Source organism: Homo sapiens, chromosome 16 (assembly GCF_000001405.40).
Source record: "Homo sapiens chromosome 16, GRCh38.p14 Primary Assembly".
NCBI lineage: Eukaryota > Metazoa > Chordata > Mammalia > Primates > Hominidae > Homo > Homo sapiens.
The window spans coordinates 31,020,106-31,040,499 of NC_000016.10; the positions used below are offsets into that span (position 1 = coordinate 31,020,106).

The 20,394-nt window shown below is 50.7% G+C and overlaps 1 protein-coding gene across 6 annotated transcripts, besides 2 other annotated features; it reads left to right on the plus strand.

Moving 5' to 3' along the window:
• Positions 12,777-13,288: an enhancer, noted in NCBI's record as "H3K27ac-H3K4me1 hESC enhancer chr16:31044203-31044714 (GRCh37/hg19 assembly coordinates)". NCBI's record gives its function as "activates a minimal SCP1, AML or CMV promoter by ChIP-STARR-seq in naive H9 embryonic stem cells {active_cell/tissue: H9 hESC(naive)}" and the evidence as "EXISTENCE:reporter gene assay evidence [ECO:0000049][PMID:30033119]".
• STX4 (syntaxin 4) lies at positions 12,990-20,063 on the plus strand. Of its 6 annotated transcripts, NM_001272096.1 has the most exons (12): positions 12,990-13,201; positions 13,285-13,417; positions 13,908-14,009; positions 14,099-14,220; positions 14,357-14,431; positions 14,865-14,935; positions 17,821-17,929; positions 18,009-18,085; positions 18,405-18,542; positions 19,436-19,546; positions 19,618-19,713; positions 19,807-20,063. In NM_001272096.1, coding segments are annotated over exons 2-11 (888 nt in total). In that variant the 5' UTR covers positions 12,990-13,201; positions 13,285-13,415; the 3' UTR covers positions 19,699-19,713; positions 19,807-20,063. The 6 variants fall into 6 exon arrangements, with proteins under 6 accessions (NP_001259025.1, XP_005255578.1, NP_001259024.1 ...); XM_005255521.2 differs by lacking the exon at positions 12,990-13,201 and having other exon boundaries at positions 13,386-13,730; NM_004604.5 differs by lacking the exons at positions 12,990-13,201; positions 13,285-13,417 and adding an exon at positions 13,453-13,730 and having other exon boundaries at positions 14,121-14,220; positions 19,807-20,059.
• Positions 13,801-14,311: an enhancer, noted in NCBI's record as "H3K27ac hESC enhancer chr16:31045227-31045737 (GRCh37/hg19 assembly coordinates)". NCBI's record gives its function as "activates a minimal SCP1, AML or CMV promoter by ChIP-STARR-seq in naive H9 embryonic stem cells {active_cell/tissue: H9 hESC(naive)}" and the evidence as "EXISTENCE:reporter gene assay evidence [ECO:0000049][PMID:30033119]".
• Positions 20,064-20,394: the final 331 nt, after the last annotated feature.

The following is a 20,394-nucleotide window of genomic DNA, read 5'->3' on the forward strand; positions in this document are numbered from 1 at the left end:
TGGCCAGGCTGGTCTTGAACTCCTGACCTCAAGTGATCCACCCGCCTCAGCCTTCCAAAGTGCTGGAATTACAGGCATGAGCCACTGTGCCCAGCCTCATATGCTGAATCTCTAATCTCCAATGTGATGGGAGTAGGAGGTGAGGCCTTTGAAAGGTAACTAGGTTTAGATGAGATCCCAAGGGTGGAGGATCATGAGGATGATGGGACTCGTGCCATTATTTAAAAAGGAAGAAGGCCAGGCATGGTGGCTCATGCCTGTAATCACAGGAATTTGGGAGGCCAAGGCGGGTGGATCACTTGAGCTCAGAAGTTCAAGAACAGGCTGGGCAACATGGCAAAACCCTTCTCTACCAAAAATACAAGAAAACTAGCTGGGCATGGTGCATGCACCTGTAGTACCAGCTACTTAGGAGGCTGAGGTGGGAGGATTGCTTGAACCCCGGAGGTTGCAGTGAGCCGAGATTGTGCCATTGCACTCCAGCCTGGGCTTTTTTTGAGACCCCCATCTCAAAAAAAAAAAAAAAAGGAAGAGACACCAGACACCAGAGCTTTCTCTCTCTCTGCCATGTAATAATACAAGAAGGTGGCTGTCTGCAAACTAGGAAGTGAGCCCTCACTGTGAACAGAATCTGCTCGCAGAATCTTGGACTTTCCAGCCTTTGGAACTGTGAGAAATAAATGTCAGTTGGTTAAGCCACCCCATCTATGGTATTTTGTTAAAGCAGCCCAAACTAACTAAGACATAGTTAAAATTGGTTTAAAATTACTCAAAGGTACCATTCTTTGATATATTACCTTTTAACATTCTTTCTTTTTTCTTTTCTTTTCTTTCTTTTTTTTTTTTTGGAGAAGGAGTCTCGCTCTGTTGCCCAGGCTGGAGTGCAGTGGTGTGATCTCAGCTCACCACAACCTCTGCCTCCTGGCTTCAAGCAATTCTCCTGCCTCAGCCTCCTGAGTAGCTGGGATTACAAGCGCCCGCCACACGCCCAGCTAATTTTTCCATTTTTTTAGTAGAGATGGGGTTTCCCTATGTTGGTTAGGCTGGTCTCGAACTCCTGACCTTGTGATCTGCCCACCTCGGCCTCCCAAAGTGCTGGAATTACAGGCATGAGCCTCCACGCCCGACCAACATTCTTTCTTTACCATTATTTATTTAATATATTTTTTCAAATAGGTAGTACTTTCACATAGTACAAAAATCTAAATATTACCAAAAGGGTTCAGTGAAATTCTTACTCTAACAGCTCTACTAGCCACTTTGTTCCCATGAACCACACCTACGGAACCACTTTTATTAGTTTCTTATAAACCTTCCAGAATTTCTTTATGCAGATGTTACCAGAAAGGGGTCTGGATCCAGACCTCAAGAGGGGGTTCTTGGACCTTCCTCAAGAAAGAATTCAGGGTGAGTTGATAGAGTAAAGTGAAAGCAAGTTTATTAGAAAAGTAAAGGATTAAAGAATGGCTACTCCATAGACAGAGTAGCCCCAAGGGCTGCTGGTTGCCCATTTTTATGGTTATTATTATTATTTTTTTTATTTTTTGAGACGGAGTTTCACTCTTGTCGCCCAGGCTGGAGTGCAGTGGCACAATCTCGGCTCACTGCAACCTCTGCCTCCCGGGTTCAAGCGATTCTCCTGCCTCAGCCTCCCAAGTAGCTGGGATTACAGGCGCCTGCCACCATGCCCAGCTAATTTTTGTATTTTTCGTAGAGACGGGGTTTCACCATTGGCCAGGCTGGTCTCGAACTCCTGACCTCAGGTGATCTGCCCGCCTCGGCCTACCAAAGTGCTGGGATTACAGGCACGAGCCACTGTGCTGGGCTGGTTATTTTTTGATTATATGCTAAACAAGGGGTGGATTATTCATGCCTCCTCTTTTTAGACCATATAGGGTAACTTCCTGACATTGCCATGGCATTTGTAAACTGTCATGACCTTGGTGGGAGTGCTGCAGTGAGGACGCCCAGAGGTCACTCTCATTGCCATCTCAGTTTTGGTGGGTTTTAGCTGGCTTCTTTACTGCAAACTGCTTTATCAACAAGGTCTTTATGACCTATATCTTGTGCTGATCACCTATCTTATCCTGTGACTTAGAACACCTTAACTGTCTGGGATGCAGCCCAGTAGGTCTCAGCCTCATTTTACCCAGTTCCTATTCAAGATGGAGTTGCTCTGGTTCAAATGCCTCTGACATAGATACAAGCACACACACAAACACACACACACAATTTTTTTCTTACATAACAGTAAGCATGATACACTTATTCTACACTTTGATATTCAATGAACAAATATTTCATATCTATGCAAAATGAAGTTTCTAATTCTTTTTGACAGCTCTGTACCTGCTGATGGACAAGTTATGATTATTGCAAATACTGGGTGAATTACATTGGATGGGTCATTTCATACATGCGCAGACGTGTTGAATTAAAATTCTATTTCCCCAACCTTTGAAGTTGGTGTGGACTTGAGACTTGCTTTGGCTAACAGAATGTGGTAGAAGTCATGTGCAAATTCTGAGCAAGGCCTCAAGATTTTGTTACTGTTTCCACTTTCACTTTCCTGGAAGTCTAAGGCCATTACGCTAAGAAGAAACCCAGGATGAAATGTAACATGCTGGGAGTGGCTCAACTGTTCCTGCCAACCTAGTCATCAGAGCTAGGATAGCAGACAACAGGTGAGTGAGTCCATCTTGGGCCATCCAGCCCCAGCCGCGGTGCCAGCTGACTGCAGTCACTTATATAATACAAGCCACCCAGCTCCTCTCAGAATCTGGAGAAACAATACATTGTTGTTTATCTCGGTAAGAAAACTCAAGGTTTGGGAGTGGTTTTTTACCCAAGAGTAGCTAACTGATAAAACAGAAATCTCTTTCAGATAGATTTTCAGAAGTAAGATGACTGGTTCAAAGTGTAAATGCTTGCTGGGCGCGGTGGCTCATGCCTGTAATCCCGCACTTTGGGAGGTCGAGGCGGGCAGATCACCTGAGGTAAAGAGTTCAAGGCCAGCCTGACCAACATGGAGAAACCCCGTCTCTACTAAAAATCCAAAATTAGCCAGGCGTGGTGGCTCATGGCTGTAATCCCAGCTACTCAGGAAGCTGAGGCAGGAGAATCACTTGACCCCGGGAGGCAGAGGTTGCGGTGAGCTGAGACTGCACCATTGCACTCCACCCTGGGCAACAAGAGTGAAATTCTGTTTCCAAAAAAAAAAAAAACAAAAAACAAAGTATAAATGCAGCTGGGTGAAGTGGCCCATGCCTGTCATCCCAGCACTTTAGGAGGCTGAGGCAAGGGGATTGCTTGAGTTTGAGACCAGCCTGGACAACATAGCGAGACCCTGTCTCTACAAATAACTTTTAAAATTAGCTGGGTGTGGTGGTGTGTGCTTGTGGTCCCAGCTACTTAGGAGGTTGAGGCAAGAGGATCACCTAAGCCCAGGAGATCAAGGTTGCAGTGAGCTGCGATTGTACCACTGTACTCCCGCCTGTGTTAAAGAGACCCTGCTCAAAACAACAACAATAAAACAAAATGTAAATACATTTGTAATTTTGATAAACATTTTCTGGCTTGTATCATTTTCCATTCCCACCAACAATGGGTGAAAGGACCCATCTCCCCACAATCTTGCCAAAAGAGTGTTTTGCCAAACTTACATCTGTATATGTGTCTAAGGCCTTATTGTTTTTGTGAACTGTCATGTTCTTTGCCCATTTTTTGTTGAACTACCGGTCTTTCTTATCAATATATGAGAGCTCTTTAAACAGTAGGGAGATTAGACCGTTGTATGCAATAATAGCTGCAAATATTTTTCCCAGTTTTTTTTTTTTTCCTGAGACAGGGGGTCTTGCTCTGTTGCCCAGGCTGGAGTGCAGTGGCATGATCTCAGCTCCCTACAGCCTCTGCCTCCCCAGTTCAAGCGATTCTTGTGCCTCAGCATCCCGAGTAGCTGGGGTTACAGGTGTTCACTACCACACCCAGCTAGTTTTTGTATTTTTAGTACAGATGGAGTTTCAACATGTTGCTCAGGCTGGTCTCCAACTCCTGGCCTCAAGTGATCTTCCCACCTCGACCTCTCAAAGTGCTGGGACTACATGCATGAGCCACTGCGCCCCAACAGTTGTCTTTTGATTTTACTTATGATGTTTTTTGCCATGCAGAATTGTTGTATGTAGACAAAGGTATTAATCTCTTCTTTTACAGTTTCTGTATTCTGAGTTGGAGTTGGAAGGGCCTTCCTCACTCCAGAAGTTATAAAAGATTTTGACCATATTTTCTTCTAGCATTTTATTTAATTTTTTTTTTTTTTTTTTTTTTTGAGACAGAGTCTCGCTCTGTCACCTAGGCTGGGGTACAGTGGTGCAATCTTGGCTCACTGCAACCTCCATCTCCTGGGTTCAAGCGATTCTCCTGCGTCAGTCTCCTGAGTAGCTGGGACTACAGGGGTGTGCCACCATGCCCGGCTAATTTTTGTGTCAGTGCACTCCACTTAGTAGAGGAGTACTACTCCTTTTAGTAGAGGCGGGGTTTCACTATGTTGGCCAAGCCGGTCTCGAACTTCTGACCTCAAATGATCCACCCACCTCGGCCTCCCAAAGTGTTGGGATTACAGGCATAAGCCGCCGTGCCCAGCCTCTTCTACCATTTTAATATAGTTTATCCAAACAAATTGTATGATCCATCACCTTTACAATAAAGTTCAGGGCAGGCCGGGTGCGGTGGCTGATGCCTGTAATTCCAGCACTTTGGGAGGCCAAGGTGGGCAGATCATCTGAGGCCAGGAGTTTGAGACCAGCCTTGGCAACGTAGTGGAACACTGTCTCTATTAAAAATACAAAAATTAGCCAGGAGTGGTGGGGTGTGCCTGTGCCTGTGTTCCCAGCTACTCGGGAGGCTGAGGCAGGAGAATTTCTTGAACCTGGAAGGCAGAAGTTGCAGTGAGGCAAGATTGCACCATTGCACTCCAGCCTGGGCAACAAGAGTGAAACTCCATCTCAACAACAACAACAACAACAAAAAGGAATAGGGCCGGGTGCGGTGGCTCATGCCTGTAATCCCAGCAGTGTGGGAGGCCAAGGTGGGCAGATCACCTGAGGTAGGGAGTTCGAGACCAGCCTGACCAACATGGAGAAACCCCGTCTCTACTAAAAAATACAAAATTAGCCAGGTGTGGTGGCGCATGCCTGTAATCCCAGCTACTCGGGAGGCTGAGGCAGGAGAATTGCTTGAACCCGGGAGGTGGAGGCTGCAGTGAGCCGAGATCGAGCCACTGCACTCCAGCCTGGGCAACAACAGCAAAACTCTGTCTCAAAGAAAAAAAAAAGGAATAAAGTTCAGGGCCAAAATTATGACATGAGTGACCCAATTGTAAAATTATGACAGTGTCATCCACGTGGATGGGAAACAGGAGGAAGAGTGGCTGGCTCAGGAGGTTCTCAGTGGGAGGCAATGCTTCCTGTTTGGGACACTTTCAGCTTAAAATGTCTGTGGGACCTCCAGGAGGCAAGTGGATTCAAGGGTCTGGAGTTAGGAGAAATTTGGGGCTGGAGATAGGGACTTGCAGGCCAGCATACGGTTATTCAAAGCCACAAGAGTATGTAAATAGTTTGAGGAAGAGAGGGTCTCAGATGAAACTCTAGGGAGTGGTCAAGTTTAAGCCCAAAACATGCCCATGGGGAGAGAGCTATGGGGGTGTATCGTCTCCATGGCCCTTAGGGCTTGGCACAGAAATAGCCTCAGAGATGTCTGTAGGGTTAACTGCAGCCCTTACTTGAGTCCTGTGTGGATATCTTTGGCTGCTTGGGACACAGCTCACAGGGAGAAGGGGAGGAACAATAACCTCGCTGGCAATCAGCCCTAACCCAGCGGTGTGGCAGAGACCTGAGACGGGGGCCGGGGGAGGCTCAGTGGGTATAAGTCATCTGCCCCTCCTCCCCCAGACAGTCCAAAGCAGGATATCAATAGGTGGCAGCAAGTCCCCAAGGGTAGGTGGAACACGGCCACCCGAACTGGTATTTCCCTGGGATCACAGTGCAGTGGTTAGGAGTACAAACAGTATGGGCCGGGAGCGGTGGCTCACGCCTGTAATCCCAGCACTTTGGGAAGCCCAGGTGGGAGGACTGCTTGAGACCAGGAGTTTGAAACCAGCCTGGACAACATAATGAGACCCCATTTGTACAAAAAAATAAAATAAAATAATTAGCCAGACATAGTGGCACTCGTCTACGGTCCCAGTTACTCTCAGTAAGCCGAGGTGAGAGGATCCCTTGAGCCCACGAATTCAAGTCTTCAGTGAGGCATGATCGCACCACTGAACTCCAGGCTGGGTGACAAAGCAAGACCCTGTCTCAACATCAATAACAACGAAAAAATACAAACTGTGGAGCTCCAGCATCTGGGTTAAAATTCCGGCTGTATCCTTTACTGGCTGTGTAACCTCAGGCAAGTTCCTCAATTTCTCTGTGCCTCCACTCCTTCCTTTATAAAATGAGAACAGTAATAGTACCTCCCTCATAAAACTGTTATGAGATTAAATGAGTTAATAAAGTGCTTATGTTAGTGTCTGGCACATAAAGTGCTTTATAAATATTGAATAAGAAATAATTTCATTCATTTGTGAGTATTTGTCAAGTGGCTACTGTGTACCAGGCACTGTTGTAGGTGCTGGGGGCACAACTGGGGGTAAGGCAGGCGAAAACCCTTGTCCTGTGGAGCTTACATTCTAGTTGACGGGGGAGCAGTGATAACAGACAATACGTAAAATTTTTTTTTTTTTTGAGATGGAGTCTCGGTTCTGTTGCCCAGGCAGGAGAGCAATGGCACGATCTCGGCTCACTGCAACCTCCACCTCCTGGGTTCAAGTGATTCGCCTGCCTCAGACTCCAGAGTAGCTGGGATTACAGGTGCACACCACCACATCTGGCTAATTTTTTATATTTTAGTAGAGACGGGGTTGCACTGTATTGCCCAGGCTGGTCTCAAACTCCTGAGCTCAGGCAATCCACTCGCCTTGGCCTCCCAAAGTGCTAAAATTATAGGTGTGAGCCACCACGCCCGGCCAATTTTTTTTTTTTTTTTTTTTTTTTTTTTTTTTGAGACAGAGTCTTGCACAGTCGCCCAGGCTGGAGTGCAGTGGCGTGATCTCGGCTCACTGCAAGCTCCACCTCCCAGGTTCACACCATTCTCCTGCCTCAGCCTCCTGAGCAGCTGAGACTACAGACACCCGCCACCACGCCCAGCTAATGTTTTTGTATTTTTAGTAGAGACGGGGTTTCACCGTGTTAGCCAGGATGGTCTCGATCTCCTGACCTCGTGATCCACCCGCCTCGGCCTCCCAAAGTGCTGGGATTACAGGTGTGAGCCACCGTGCCCGGCCTATTTTTATATTTAGCATAGACGGGGTTTCACCATGTTGGCCAGGTTGGTCTCGAACTCCTGATGTCAGGTGATCTGCCCGCCTCAGCCTCCCAAAATGCTTGGATTACAGAAGTAAGCCACCATGCCTGGCCTTTATTTTTTATTAAAAAAATTTTTTCTGAGACAGGGCCCTACTCTGTCACCCAGGATGGAGTGCACTGGCACAATCATAGCTCACTGCAGCCTTTAACTACTGGCCTCAAGCAATCCTTCTGTCCCAGCTTCCCAAGTAGCTGGGACTACAGGTGCGTGCCACCATACCCAGCTAATATTTTATTTATTTAAATTATTTATTTATTTATTTTTTGAGACAGAGTCTCACTCTGTCTCCCAGGCTGGAGTGCAGTGGCGTGATCTTGGCTCATTGCAACCTCTGCCTTCCAGGTTGAAGTGATTCTCTTGCCTCAGCCTCCCCAGTAGCTGGGATTACAGGCATGCACCACCACACCCGGCTAATTTTTGTATTTTTAGTAGAGACAGCGTTTCTCCATGTTGGCCAGGCTGGTCTCAAACTCCTGACCTCAGGTGATCCACCCACCTCAGCCTCCCAAAGTGCTGGGATTACAGGTGTGAGCCACCGCACCCGGCCTTATTTTTTATTTTGTAGAGATGGGGTCTCACTATGTCGTCCAGACTAGTCTCAAACTCCTGAGCTCAAGCAATCCTCCTGCCTCAGCCTCCCAAAGTGCTGAGATTACAGGCATGAGCCACCATGCCTAGCTCAATATGTAAATAAATTAGCAAAATATATGGTATGTCAGCTCCAAGTGGAGACACAAGAGATGGGTGTGAGCTGGCAAGGCTGATAGCCCTGGCCCTGGTGCACAGTGGGACCCAGAAGACGGAGAGCAGAAGGAAGTCCCCAGATAGGCAGCAACATGGACCCTCTAGCAGAGACATTAGAGCTGCTAAAAGATTCAGAGTAACAATCATCGCCGTCATACAACAGCAGGAAGCACTGACATACTGACATTCCACACCAGGTGCTGTTCTGTTTGCTTTACAAATATCACTTCATCTTTACAGCAGTCCTATGAATATGGTGCTATTATTATTTGGATTTTTCTGTTTCTTTTTTTTGAGATGGAGTTTCGCTCTTGTTGCCCCCAGCGTACAATGGCGCAGTCTTGGCTCACTGCAACTTCCGCCTCCCAGGTTCAGGCGATTCTCCTGACTCAGCCTCTCAAGTAGCTGGGATTACAGGCATGTGCCACCACGCCCGGCTAATTTTGTATTTTTAGGAGAGACGGGGTTTCTCCATGTTGGTCAGGCTGGTCTCGAACCCCGGACTTCAGGTGATCTGCCAGCCTTGGTGAGGGCCGGGAACGGTGGCTCATGCCTATAATCCCAGCATTCTGGGAGGCCAAGGCGGGTGGATCACCTGAGGTCGGGAGTTTGAGACCAGCCTGACCAACATGGAGAAGCCCCATTTCTACTAAAAATATAAAATTAGCCGGCTTGGTGGTGGGCACCTGTAATCCCAGCTACTCGGGAAGCTGAGGCAGGAGAATCACCTGAACCCAGGATGTGGAGGCTGCGGTGAGCCAAAATCACACCACTGCATTCTAGCCTGGTGACCTGGAGAGACTCTGTCTCAAAAAACAACAACAACCAAAAAAACAAAAACAAAAACAAAAACAAAAAAAAATGAGAACTGAGGTATAGAAAGGTTATATAACTTGCCTCCTAGAGTTATTACAGTGGGTGAATGGGCTGGGATTCCAACCCAGGTCATCTGGCTCCCATGTGGATAGGTCTGGACCCACAGGTAGAGGGGACAAGACAAATTGCCAAGCCTCAGGACTGGGTAGAGCAAGACAGGATCAACAACCTCTCCAGTAGTTGGCTCCAACCTAGCAGGTGTGGGAGAGGACCTGTGACAGGGGCGGGAGAAGGCTTAGTGGGGCCGGCAGTCCACCCACTCCTCCCCCAAGACAGTCCAAAGCAATAGGTGACAGCAAGCCCCCAAGGGTGGGTGGAACACGGGAAGCCACCCCAGCTGGTATTTTCCTTGGATCATAGTGTAGAAGTTAAGAAACACACCCCACCCCCCAACAGCTGCACAGTCTGGAGCGAATATACACGCCCACCACCCACACACCCAAGACCCAATACACTTTTTTAAACTTTATTTTTACTTCTATTTATTTATTTTTAATTATTTTTTAAAAATCTAATTAGAGATGAGGTCTTAGGCTGGGCACAGTGGCTCATGCCTGTAACCCCAGCACTTCGGGAGGCCGAGGCAGGCAGATCACGAGGCGGGAGGATCACGAGGTCAGGAGTTCGAGACCAGCCTGGCCAATATGGTGAAACCCCATCTCTGCTAAAAATACAAAAATGAGCTGGGCGCGGTGGTGTGCACCTGTAATCTCAGCTACTTGGGAGGCTGAGGCAGAATTGTTTGAACTCAGGAGGCGGATGCTGCAGTGAGCTGAGATCGTGCCACTGCACTCCAGTCTGGGAGACAGAGCGAGACTACGTCTCAAAACAAACAAACAAACAAACAACAACAACAAAAACAGAGATAAGGTCTTGGCATGTTGCCCAGGCTGGTCTCAAGTCCTGGGCTCAAAGGATTCTCCTGCCTCAGCCTCCCAAAGTGCTAGGATTACAGGCGTGAACCACTGCACCCACCCTACTTTTTTTTTTTTTTTTTTTTATACAGGATCTCACTCTGTCACCCGGGCTGGAGTGCAGTGGCAAGATCACTGCTGACTGTACCCTTGACCTCAGGGACTCAAGTGATCCTCCTGCCTCAGCCTCCTGAGTAGCTGGGACTACAGGAGAGCGCCAGCACACCTGGGTAATTAAGATTTTTTTTGTAGAGACAGACGCTATGTTGCCCAGGCTGCTCTCGAACTCCTGGCTTCAAGTGATACACCCTTGGCCTCCTAAAGTGCTGGGATCACAGGCATGAGCCACTGCACCTAGCCTAATATAGTTAATATCCCCGTCAAGGCTGCTCAGAGGGCCTGAGAGGAACAAAGGGCTCAGCTCTGGAGAGCTCCACCCCCAGCGCCAATCTCTCTAAATGGCCTCTTTCCTCTCCATATTCCACCACAAGGCTTGGAGTCCAGCTTCCTGTGACCTTAAGTCACCATTCCAAAGCCCTGCGATCTCACCCAGAGACCACAAGTGAAATAATATTATAATCCTGAGAAGTTTAGTGGACCAAGATGGCATGCCATCAAGACGCTGAGAAACAAAGAGGAAGATGGGACCAGGGGGCCCAGAAGACGCTGGAACCCACAGTATTAAAAGCTCAGAGAGGCTGGGCACAGTGGCTCACACCTGTAATCCCAGCACTTTGGGAGGCCAAGGTGGGTGGATCACTTGAGCCCAGGGGTTTGAGAACAGCCTGGGCAACATGGCGAAACCCAGTCTCTACCAAAAAATATACAAAAATTAGCCAGGCATGGTGGTGCGTGCCTTAGTACCAGCTACTTGGGAGGCTGAGGCAGGAGGATTGACTGAACCTGAGAGCACACCACTGCACTCCAGCCTGGATGACAGAACCAGACCTGACCTCAAAGAGAAGAAAAAAAAAAAAAAAAAAAAGCCCAGAGGGGAGGGTACCCTCAACAGTTTTCCAGCCCCTTCCACATCCTTCCTAACCTCACTTGATAGTGTTCAAGTCCTACCTTAGGCAAGGCAGAAATTATAGGACCAAGCCGCCAAATGGGGAAATTGAGTCCCAGAGAGAAGTAATGCATTATTTAAGATCCCATGCAGGACTATGAGTCAGGGGTCCAAGAGCCCTTCCACCGTGTGCCACTCAGAGACACAGAGTAGGAGGGGGAAGGGGGTCGGGTGGCAGGGGACAAAAGATGCAGGAGGCAAGCAGCAGTGACTGAAGAGGCAGAGGCTGACATGAAAGACCCAGGAGCAGAGAATCTTTCCTTATCATCTCCAGGGGACACCACTGGGCAGGGCTTGGCCTCCGGAAAAACCCTGCATTCCCTCTGTGGGTTCATCAGGGCACCACTCTCCTACTAGCTGGGTTTTTTTTTTTTGTTTTGTTTTGTTTTTGAGACAGAGTCTTACTCTGTCACCTAGGCTGGAGTGCAATGGCGTGATCTCAGCTCACTGTAACCTCCACCTCCCATGTTCAAGCAATCCTCCTGTCTCAGCCTCCCAAGTAGCTGGGATTACAGGCACCTGCCATCATGCCTGGCTAATTTTTGTATGTTTGTAGAGACAGGGTTTCGCCATGTTGGCCAGGCTGGTCTCCAACTCCTGGCCTCAGGTGATCTGCCTGCCTCAGCCTCCCAAAGTGCTGGGATTACAGGCATGAGCCACCACACCCTGCCTGAGCTGGGTTTTAACAGGAAGAGGAGAAGAGCCAAAACTCCTCACATAGAATCACACAGCACTTGACAGTTTCCAACCTCATCATCACTGAAGTTTAGAGCAGCCGATACCCATAAAGATGATCTCCCCATCCCCCTACAGTTACCCACTGTGCAGAGGGAGATCCACACTTAGAGACAGGAAGCGATTTCCAGAAGTCCATAGCAACTCAGTCCCAGGAATCTAGGTTTCCTGACCAGGGCATAGCAGAAAGGGTCCATTCCTTTCCTTGCTTGTACCTTCACAGAAGCTTCCTGGACAGAGCCCTGGGGTCCAGGAGACCTGTTATTCATTCCCGGCTATGCTGAGACTTGCTGAGTGACCTTGGGGACTCCTTCTAGAGAATATAAGTTCCACGAGTGCAGGAATTTTTGTCTATTAGTCCTTGATGTATCTCCAGCCCTAGAACAGTGTTTGGCCCATACTATGTGCCCAAAAAATATCCATTAAATGACTGAATGTTGCTGTGCATGGTGGTGCATGCCTGTAATCCCAGCACTTTGGGAAGCTGAGGCAGAAGGATTGCTTAAGCCCAGGAGTTAGAGACCAGCTTGGACAACATAGTGAGACCGCATCTCGTAAAAATTTTTAAAAATAAAAAATGAGTGAATATCTAGATAGCCAGGATTAGAGAAGTGTCACAGTCAGAAAGCCTGAAGCCTAAAGAAGACCAAGGAACCAGGGGCTTTATCCTCAGATACATGAAAGCCTGAAATTCTGTCCACAAGTATTTATAGAGGGCCCGTAATGTTCTTGGTACTGGGCTAGGAACTCCCCAGATTCAGTTAAGAACAAAGTCATTACCTGGCCTCAGATGCAAGGCAGGGGCTGGGGGGTGTGAGTGGCAGGGAGGCAGCGTGATCAATACAAACACTTTTCTTAGCCTGAGCTGCCCTGACATGGTCTGACGGCTCACAAGGTGGTGAGTGCAGCCGGGCTGCAGTGTTCAAGGAGGGCGCCGGCTGGCCGCCCACCTGTCAGAGGCTGCGCCAGAAGGATGCGGAAGAAGAGATTTCTGCCTTGGCTGAGGTCACTTCCCACCCCCAGATTCCCTGCCCACACAACCCTGCAATTTTCTGACGCTGACGACTCGGATCCTATTATTTCCCGATTTTCAAGGTCCCATGATGCTGACAGCCCCAAATGCTAAGTCGTCAGTCCGCCCACGCCCTGGACCCGAAAGCAATAAAGGCGAGGTCAGCAAGGGTCCTACCACCCACTGCCTCGAAAGGCCTCTGGGGGTGGTCGGCGCGCCCCTCCCCACCTCGCGGGGGCCGTGTGGGCGTCGCTCGGTCGTTGGGGTGCCGGGGACGTCGTGATGAGAACGGCGTCCCAGAGACGGCGGTGACAGAGCCGGGACACGTGACAGTCACAGGGTCACATTCTGCGGTCCACGAGTTTGGGACCGGGCTGGTCACGTGACGCGGTGGGGGCACCATGGGGTGATGTGAGATGCGGGTGTCTCGGATTACGTACAAATGACGTATTCCTACCCCTTTTGGCAACCAGATTTCCGTTGGAAGATGCAACGGTTCCGGTGACGGTAGCAAGTTCTCGCGTCCAGGCATCTCCGCTTCCGCTCGGGGCGCAACAACTTCCGACTCCACCTTCCCAGCCTCGGGCAAGGAAGAGACGCGACCATGTGCGCATGCCCCGAATTTATCACGGAGGGGCGGGGCTGAGGCTGCGGGAGCTGGAGCGGGGAAGAAAAGGGAATTCCAACCTGTGGAACCTTGGGGGGTCCCCGGGGTCGGCGCCTTCCCATTGACTGTGGGCGGTGCAAGGGACGGAGCCTCTGGCGGCTCGTGGGGGTGTTGGGGTCCGCAGGGGGAGGGAGGGGAGTGTCAGAGTGTGAGCGGGGTACGGGAATTCCAAATTTGAGGGCCTCCCGGCTCTGGCGCCGGGGAGGGAGAGCTCAGGCCGCCATGCGGGACAGGACCCACGAGCTGAGACAGGTGAGACGCCAGGGCAGCGGGGATGGGGACGGGCGGACGAACTGGAACGCAGGACTTCTGGTCTTCGGGATAGGGAGGGGTGGCTGATGGCCAGGAAGGAAAGTCCCGGAAGCCTGTGGGTCCTGCGGGGTAAGAGCCGCAGCGAAACGGTGGTGCCAATGACTCCGGGCCTGGCAGGGGGATGACAGCTCGGACGAAGAGGACAAGGAGCGGGTCGCGCTGGTGGTGCACCCGGGCACGGCACGGCTGGGGAGCCCGGACGAGGAGTTCTTCCACAAGGTAAGGGGCTGGGGTCTCCGCCTGGATTCGCGAGGGTGTAGGAGGACCCGAGGAGTAGCGTGGTCTGGAGTACCCCATATCTCTTTCAGCCCTCTCGGTCACCCTCCCCAGGTCCGGACAATTCGGCAGACTATTGTCAAACTGGGGAATAAAGTCCAGGAGTTGGAGAAACAGCAGGTCACCATCCTGGCCACGCCCCTTCCCGAGGAGAGTGAGTGAAACCCCGGCTGCAGGGCGCATGCTCCGCCCCAGGGATTGTGGGGGTTGTAGTTCCACGCAGGTGGTGGCCAGAGTGGTTTGTTGAGGTGGGGGCTGCTGTTTGGGAGTCTTGGCCTTCTCTTATTCAGGCATGAAGCAGGAGCTGCAGAACCTGCGCGATGAGATCAAACAGCTGGGGAGGGAGATCCGCCTGCAGCTGAAGGGTGAGCTCCTGGGACCTCAGACAGATCCTTCCCTCTGATCCTGCCCTGTTGTTGGTATATCTGGGGAGTGTGTGGCCCAGAGAAGCCAGTGATATATCCAGGTCACACAGCAGGCCTGGGTCTAGCATCTGTCTCCTGGCCTCCAGGCCATTGTACTCTCCACAGCACAAGTCCGCCTCTCAGGTTCTTTTATTTACAATGAAACCATTTACTTACACAGTTATCGCTGCCCACTGGGCATTCTTTGGGCAGGGAGATGGAGTTTTGTTAGGTGGCCTCTGCATACCTATGGGAACTCAGTGATGTAATGCAAAGAAAAATAAACTTACTTTCTCCTCTTAGAGGCTCAGCCTTAGTCATTTTATGATAAATTATATTTCCCTAAAAATCCTATGGAGACAAGTACCCCCAATACCCCTGTGTCTTCCCACAGCCATAGAGCCCCAGAAGGAGGAAGCTGATGAGAACTATAACTCCGTCAACACAAGAATGAGAAAAACCCAGGTGGGTTTTTTTTCTCAGAAATGAGGACATTTCAGCAAATGTTTCATGAAGTATTAGATGACAGGTGTATGAAGGAAGGGCCTGCAGAGATCATGGAGTCCAATTGGATGACTTTTCCAAATGGGGAAACTGAGCTCAGAGAGAGAAAGAACTTGCTCAAGGTCAGGAAGCCAGGTCTCCTGATGCTCAGTCCGGTTATAACACCCTGCTTTATTTTCTTCCATTCAATAGGAAGTTACTGTGACCCCAGACAAGACCTAGTCTTGGCTGTGGGACACATGTTTTCTTTTCTTTTTTTGCCTCAGCCTCCTGAATAGCTGGGATTACAGGCGGACACCCCCATGCCCAGCTAATTTTTGTAGTTTTAGTAGAGACTGGGCTTCACCATGTTGGCCAGGCTGGTTTCGAACTCCTGACCTCAGGTGACCCTCCTGCCTCGGCCTCCCAAAGTGCTGAATTACAGGCGTGAGCCACCATGCCCAGCTGGGACACATGTTTTCTGGGAGTCAAGATGAGGAGTTAGGGTTCAATAGGGGATAAAGACATTACTCACGTGGGACCTGGTGGCTAACGGCGCTGCCCAGGGAAGGAGAGTGAGAAGTCATAAATGACTGGCAGGTTTCCTATCTATGTGACAGGGACATCCTTAGTCCCACAGGTGGAATTCAAGAAGTCAGGAAGAGGAACTTCCTTGGGGCAACACTGAAGAGGAACTCCCCTGGTGTGATATCTTATTTTTTTAATTATTATTATTTTTTTGAGATGGAGTCTCACTCTGTCCCTCAGGCTGGAGTACAGTGGCACAATCTTGGCTCACTGCAACCTCCACCTCCTTCAAGCGATTCTCCTGCCTCAGCCTCACGAGTAGCTGGGATTACAGGTGTGCACCACCACACCTGGCTAATTTTTTATATTTTTGGTAGAAATGAGGTTTCACCTTGTTGGCCAGGCTGGTCTCGAACTCCTGATCTCAACTGATCCACCTGCTTTGGCCTCGCAAAGTGCTATGATTATAGGCATGAGCCACCGCGCGCGGCCCCTGGGGTGATATCTTAGTAAGGAGATTTGCAGTGATCTGACTGGCCCTCTCTGGGTCCCCAGTGAGGAGGATACCAGGAGGTCAGGGTTGGAGTAGTTGGGCCCAGGGCTCAGCAGGGACCCCAGATTGAAGATGGAGCAGCTTGGGCATCTTGGAAGGGTGAAGCTGGAACCAGGAAAGCAGATGTATCTCTGGAAAAGGAACTCCAAGGAATGAGCATATTTAAGGCCTCAGAAGAAGGGGCAAGGCAGAGCAGATGCCCCAGAACCAGTGTTTCTGGGGAAGCCTGTGGTGGTGATTGGCATGAGTGGTTGAGGGTCCATGTGGGCCTGTTGCACCTGTTTCGCCCAGGCAACATGTTCATCTCTAGGCGTAGGAGCTGTGGTGTAGGCAGCGAGGTTGGCATTCAGCAAGCATTCAGCAGTTACATATTGGGTGCCTACTGTGTGCCAGACCTTTTTGGAACTGTTTAGGATACAGCAGTGAACCAGTGATCCCTGTCCTCATGGAACTTCCCTTCTGGTGTAGACAATCACCATAATAAATAAGTGAATTATTTAGAACATAATAAGCATTAAGGAAAAAAGAGCAGGGGAAGAGGGACTAAGCATGCTGGAGGAGGTAGAGTTGCAGTTGAAAGCAGGTGGAGGAAGCTTCATTCAGAAGGTAACATCTGAACAAGAGACTTAAAGGTGTTTGCTGGGAATGAGCATTCTAGGTAGAAGGAAAAGTGAATGCAAAGGCTTAAGCTGAGAGTGTGCTTTGTCTAGGGAGGGGTAAGGAGACCAGTGTGGATGGGCAGAGGAAGGGAACAGTAAGAGGAAGTAAGATCAGAGAGGTCATGGGAGAAGGAGAGATCATAGAGGGCTAGCCAGGCACCGTGGCTCACGCCTGTAATCCCAGCACTTTGGAGGCTGAGGTGGGAGGATTGGTTGAGCCCAGGAGTTTGAGACCAGCCTGGGCAATATAGTGAGACCCCCCCCCCTTTTTTTTTTTTCCTTTGAGACAGGGTCTCACTCTGTTGCCCAGGCTGGAGTACAGTGGTGCCATCTCTGCTCACTGCAACCTCCGCCTCCTGGGTTCAAGCCATTCTCTTGCTTCAGCCTCCCAAGTAGCTGGGACTACAGGCGCCCACCACTGCACCAAGCTAATTTCTGTACTTTTAGTAGAGATGGGGTTTCACCACGTTGGCCAGGCTGGTCTTGACCTCCTGACCTCAGGTGATCCACCTGCCTCAGCCTCCCAAAGTGCTGGGATCACAGGCATGAGCCACCGTGCCCGGCCAACCCTGTCTCTATTAAAAATAAAAATAGGCCAGGTGCAGTGGCTCACGCCTGTAATGGAGGCCGAGGCAGGTGGATCACAAGGTCAAGAGATCAAGACCATCCTGGCCAACATGGTGAAACCCCATCTCTACTAAAAATACAAAAATTAGCCGTGCGTGGTGGCGCGTGCCTGTAGTCCCAGCTACTCGGGAGGCTGAGGCAAGAGAATTGCTTGAACCCGGGAGGCCAAGGTTGCAGTGAGCCGAGATTGTGCCACTGCACTCCAGCCTGGGCAACAAGAGTGAAACTCTGTCTCAAAAAACAAATAATAAATAAATAAATAAATAAATAAATAAATAAATAAATAAAAAAGATCATGGAGGACCACATAGGCCTGATAAGGGCTTTGGCTTTTAGTCTAAGAGAAATGGGGGAGCCTGTCAAGGTCATCACAAGGTGGTTAAGGTGGCAGATCCCGCATAAGAGCTCATGCTATTTGCTCACTGTACTATGGGGTTGCCGAGGCACCGACCGGGCAGGGATCCTCCCAGGGGCACTCAGCCTATATTCTTCATCTTTAGCATGGGGTCCTGTCCCAGCAATTCGTGGAGCTCATCAACAAGTGCAATTCAATGCAGTCCGAATACCGGGAGAAGAACGTGGAGCGGATTCGGAGGCAGCTGAAGATCAGTGAGTTGTGCATGCCCAGCCTGGCCCGCAGGGGCAGGTAATCCCAACCCAACCCTGAGCCTGGCCTTTTCCTTCACAGCCAATGCTGGGATGGTGTCTGATGAGGAGTTGGAGCAGATGCTGGACAGTGGGCAAAGCGAGGTGTTTGTGTCCAATGTGAGTGGCCACAGCCAGCCCCTCTCTGCTGTGCCTCCCATCCCCTCTGAGTCCTGTCCGTTTCTCGACCTCCTGGGCTCAGGTGATCCTCCTGCCTCAGCCTCCCGAGTAGCTGGGACTATAGGTGCAAGCCACTGCACCCCGCTTGCTGTGGCCCTTTCTGATTAAGGGCACCCTGAGGCCTCTAAGGGAATTAATTAGCCTGCCTGGAGTCACCCATCAGATTCCAGGCTGAGGGCTCCCCAGAAGCTCAACAGGAGTTTCTGACCTGCTGTCGGTCTCCCTGTGAACAGTTGCCCCACTCCTGTCCACCCCCCAGATCCTGAAGGACACGCAGGTGACTCGACAGGCCTTAAATGAGATCTCGGCCCGGCACAGTGAGATCCAGCAGCTTGAACGCAGTATTCGTGAGCTGCACGACATATTCACTTTTCTGGCTACCGAAGTGGAGATGCAGGTGGGTGCCCCGCGCAGCCCCAGACGTGAGACCAGGCTCAGTCCAAACTGCCAGCCTCCCGCCACCCTTAGATTCTCTCCCTGAGGCTTTTGTGTCTTCCAGGTTTGGCCATGCCCCCAGATTGGTGCTTATTCCTATCCTTAGCTGTACCCCGAGAATGGCACCTGCCTCTGCTGCTACACAGATGCCCACTCCCTTCTGCATAGCACCCTGCCCCCTCTCCAAAACTTGAGCCTGCCCAGGTCTGGCCCCAGCCCTCACTCCCCCTCCACTAACAGCATCCACCCTTATACCTCTCAGAGGTCCAGTCAGAGTTGCCCTAGAGGGGCTGCCTCCTAACATCTGTACAAGGCTGGGGTGGGGGCGGCGTTCCCCTGGCCCTGGTTGTGAGTTGAGTTGAGCTTCCAGCCCTGTCCTGGAGGAGCTGGCCTCAGTCATGCTACAGCCAATGCCCTTTTGCAGCTGAGACTTACAGGAAAGAGATCTCATTCAGTAGGAGTACTGAGACCTGAGGCTGGTGGTGCCAGGAGGAGGCAGGGATAGGGAGGGCTTTGCAGCAGCTGTAGATAGGCCTGGAAGAATGGGTAAATTCAGACAGATTTGTGAAGGCACAGTTCACCATCTGTGAAAGGTATGAGCCATTTGAGGCCCTTAGCTCCAAGCTACCACTGCAGATAGAGGTTGTATGGGATAAGTGAGCAGGGGACAAGGGACTACATGATAGAAGGGGCCTGGAAGCCATCCCCAAGGAGTCTGAACTTTTGTCAGATCAAGTCTTGCCCTTGTCTTTGTTAGTGCAATTTTTTTTTCCTGCCAGGAATGTTCTTCAGTCATCTGGGGTGGGGTGGGCAAAGGCATCCTTACCTCCCTGAACCACCCCATCCTCTGAGCAGGGGGAGATGATCAATCGGATTGAGAAGAACATCCTGAGCTCAGCGGACTACGTGGAACGTGGGCAGGAGCACGTCAAGACGGCCCTGGAGAACCAGAAGAAGGCGAGGAAGGTGAGCCTCCCAGGCCCGGCCACTGCCCCAGGCACCCTGTGTGACTTCCCTGACCCCCTCCTCTCCCACAGAAGAAAGTCTTGATTGCCATCTGTGTGTCCATCACCGTCGTCCTCCTAGCAGTCATCATTGGCGTCACAGTGGTTGGATAATGTCGCACATTGTTGGTGAGATGTTGTGGGCTGCCCCCTGGCCTGCCCCAGCCCTGGCCCCAGCCCTCCCTCCTCCCTCAGACCCTGTTCTCCCTCCTTTCCTTACAGGCACTAGGAGCACCAGGAACCCAGGGCCTGGCCTTCTCTCCCAGCAGCCTGGGGGGCAGGGCAGAGCCTCCAGTCGGACCCCTTCCTCACACTGGCCCCTATGCAGAAGGGCAGACAGTTCTTCTGGGGTTGGCAGCTGCTCATTCATGATGGCCTCCTCCTTCAGGCCTCAATGCCTGGGGGAGGCCTGCACTGTCCTGATTGGCCGGGACACACGGTTTTGTAAAAAATTAAAAAACAAAAAAAGAGCATAGAAAGCCCTGTGCACGTGTGTTCCTGGAAGGGCTGGCCCAAGGCTTCCGGGCATCCAACCTCCTTACCTCCTGGACGTCCCCAGGGCCAGGTCTGGCCCTGGCTGCTCAGGTCAAACTGCCAGGGGTGCTGTGCCCACAGCAGGCTGGTTCTGCCTTTCTGCACCCCCATAGGAATGGGTGGGCAGGGAGGGGTAACACCGGCATCTAGCTCCTGGCTCAGTACTGTCCCCGGGAAAGGACCACTGTGAGTATCTGTCTTGGAAATGATGAGGCTGACCAGGCCAGGCTGGGACGCAGGTGAGATGGGGGTTTGGGTGGCATCAGTGGGCCTTCT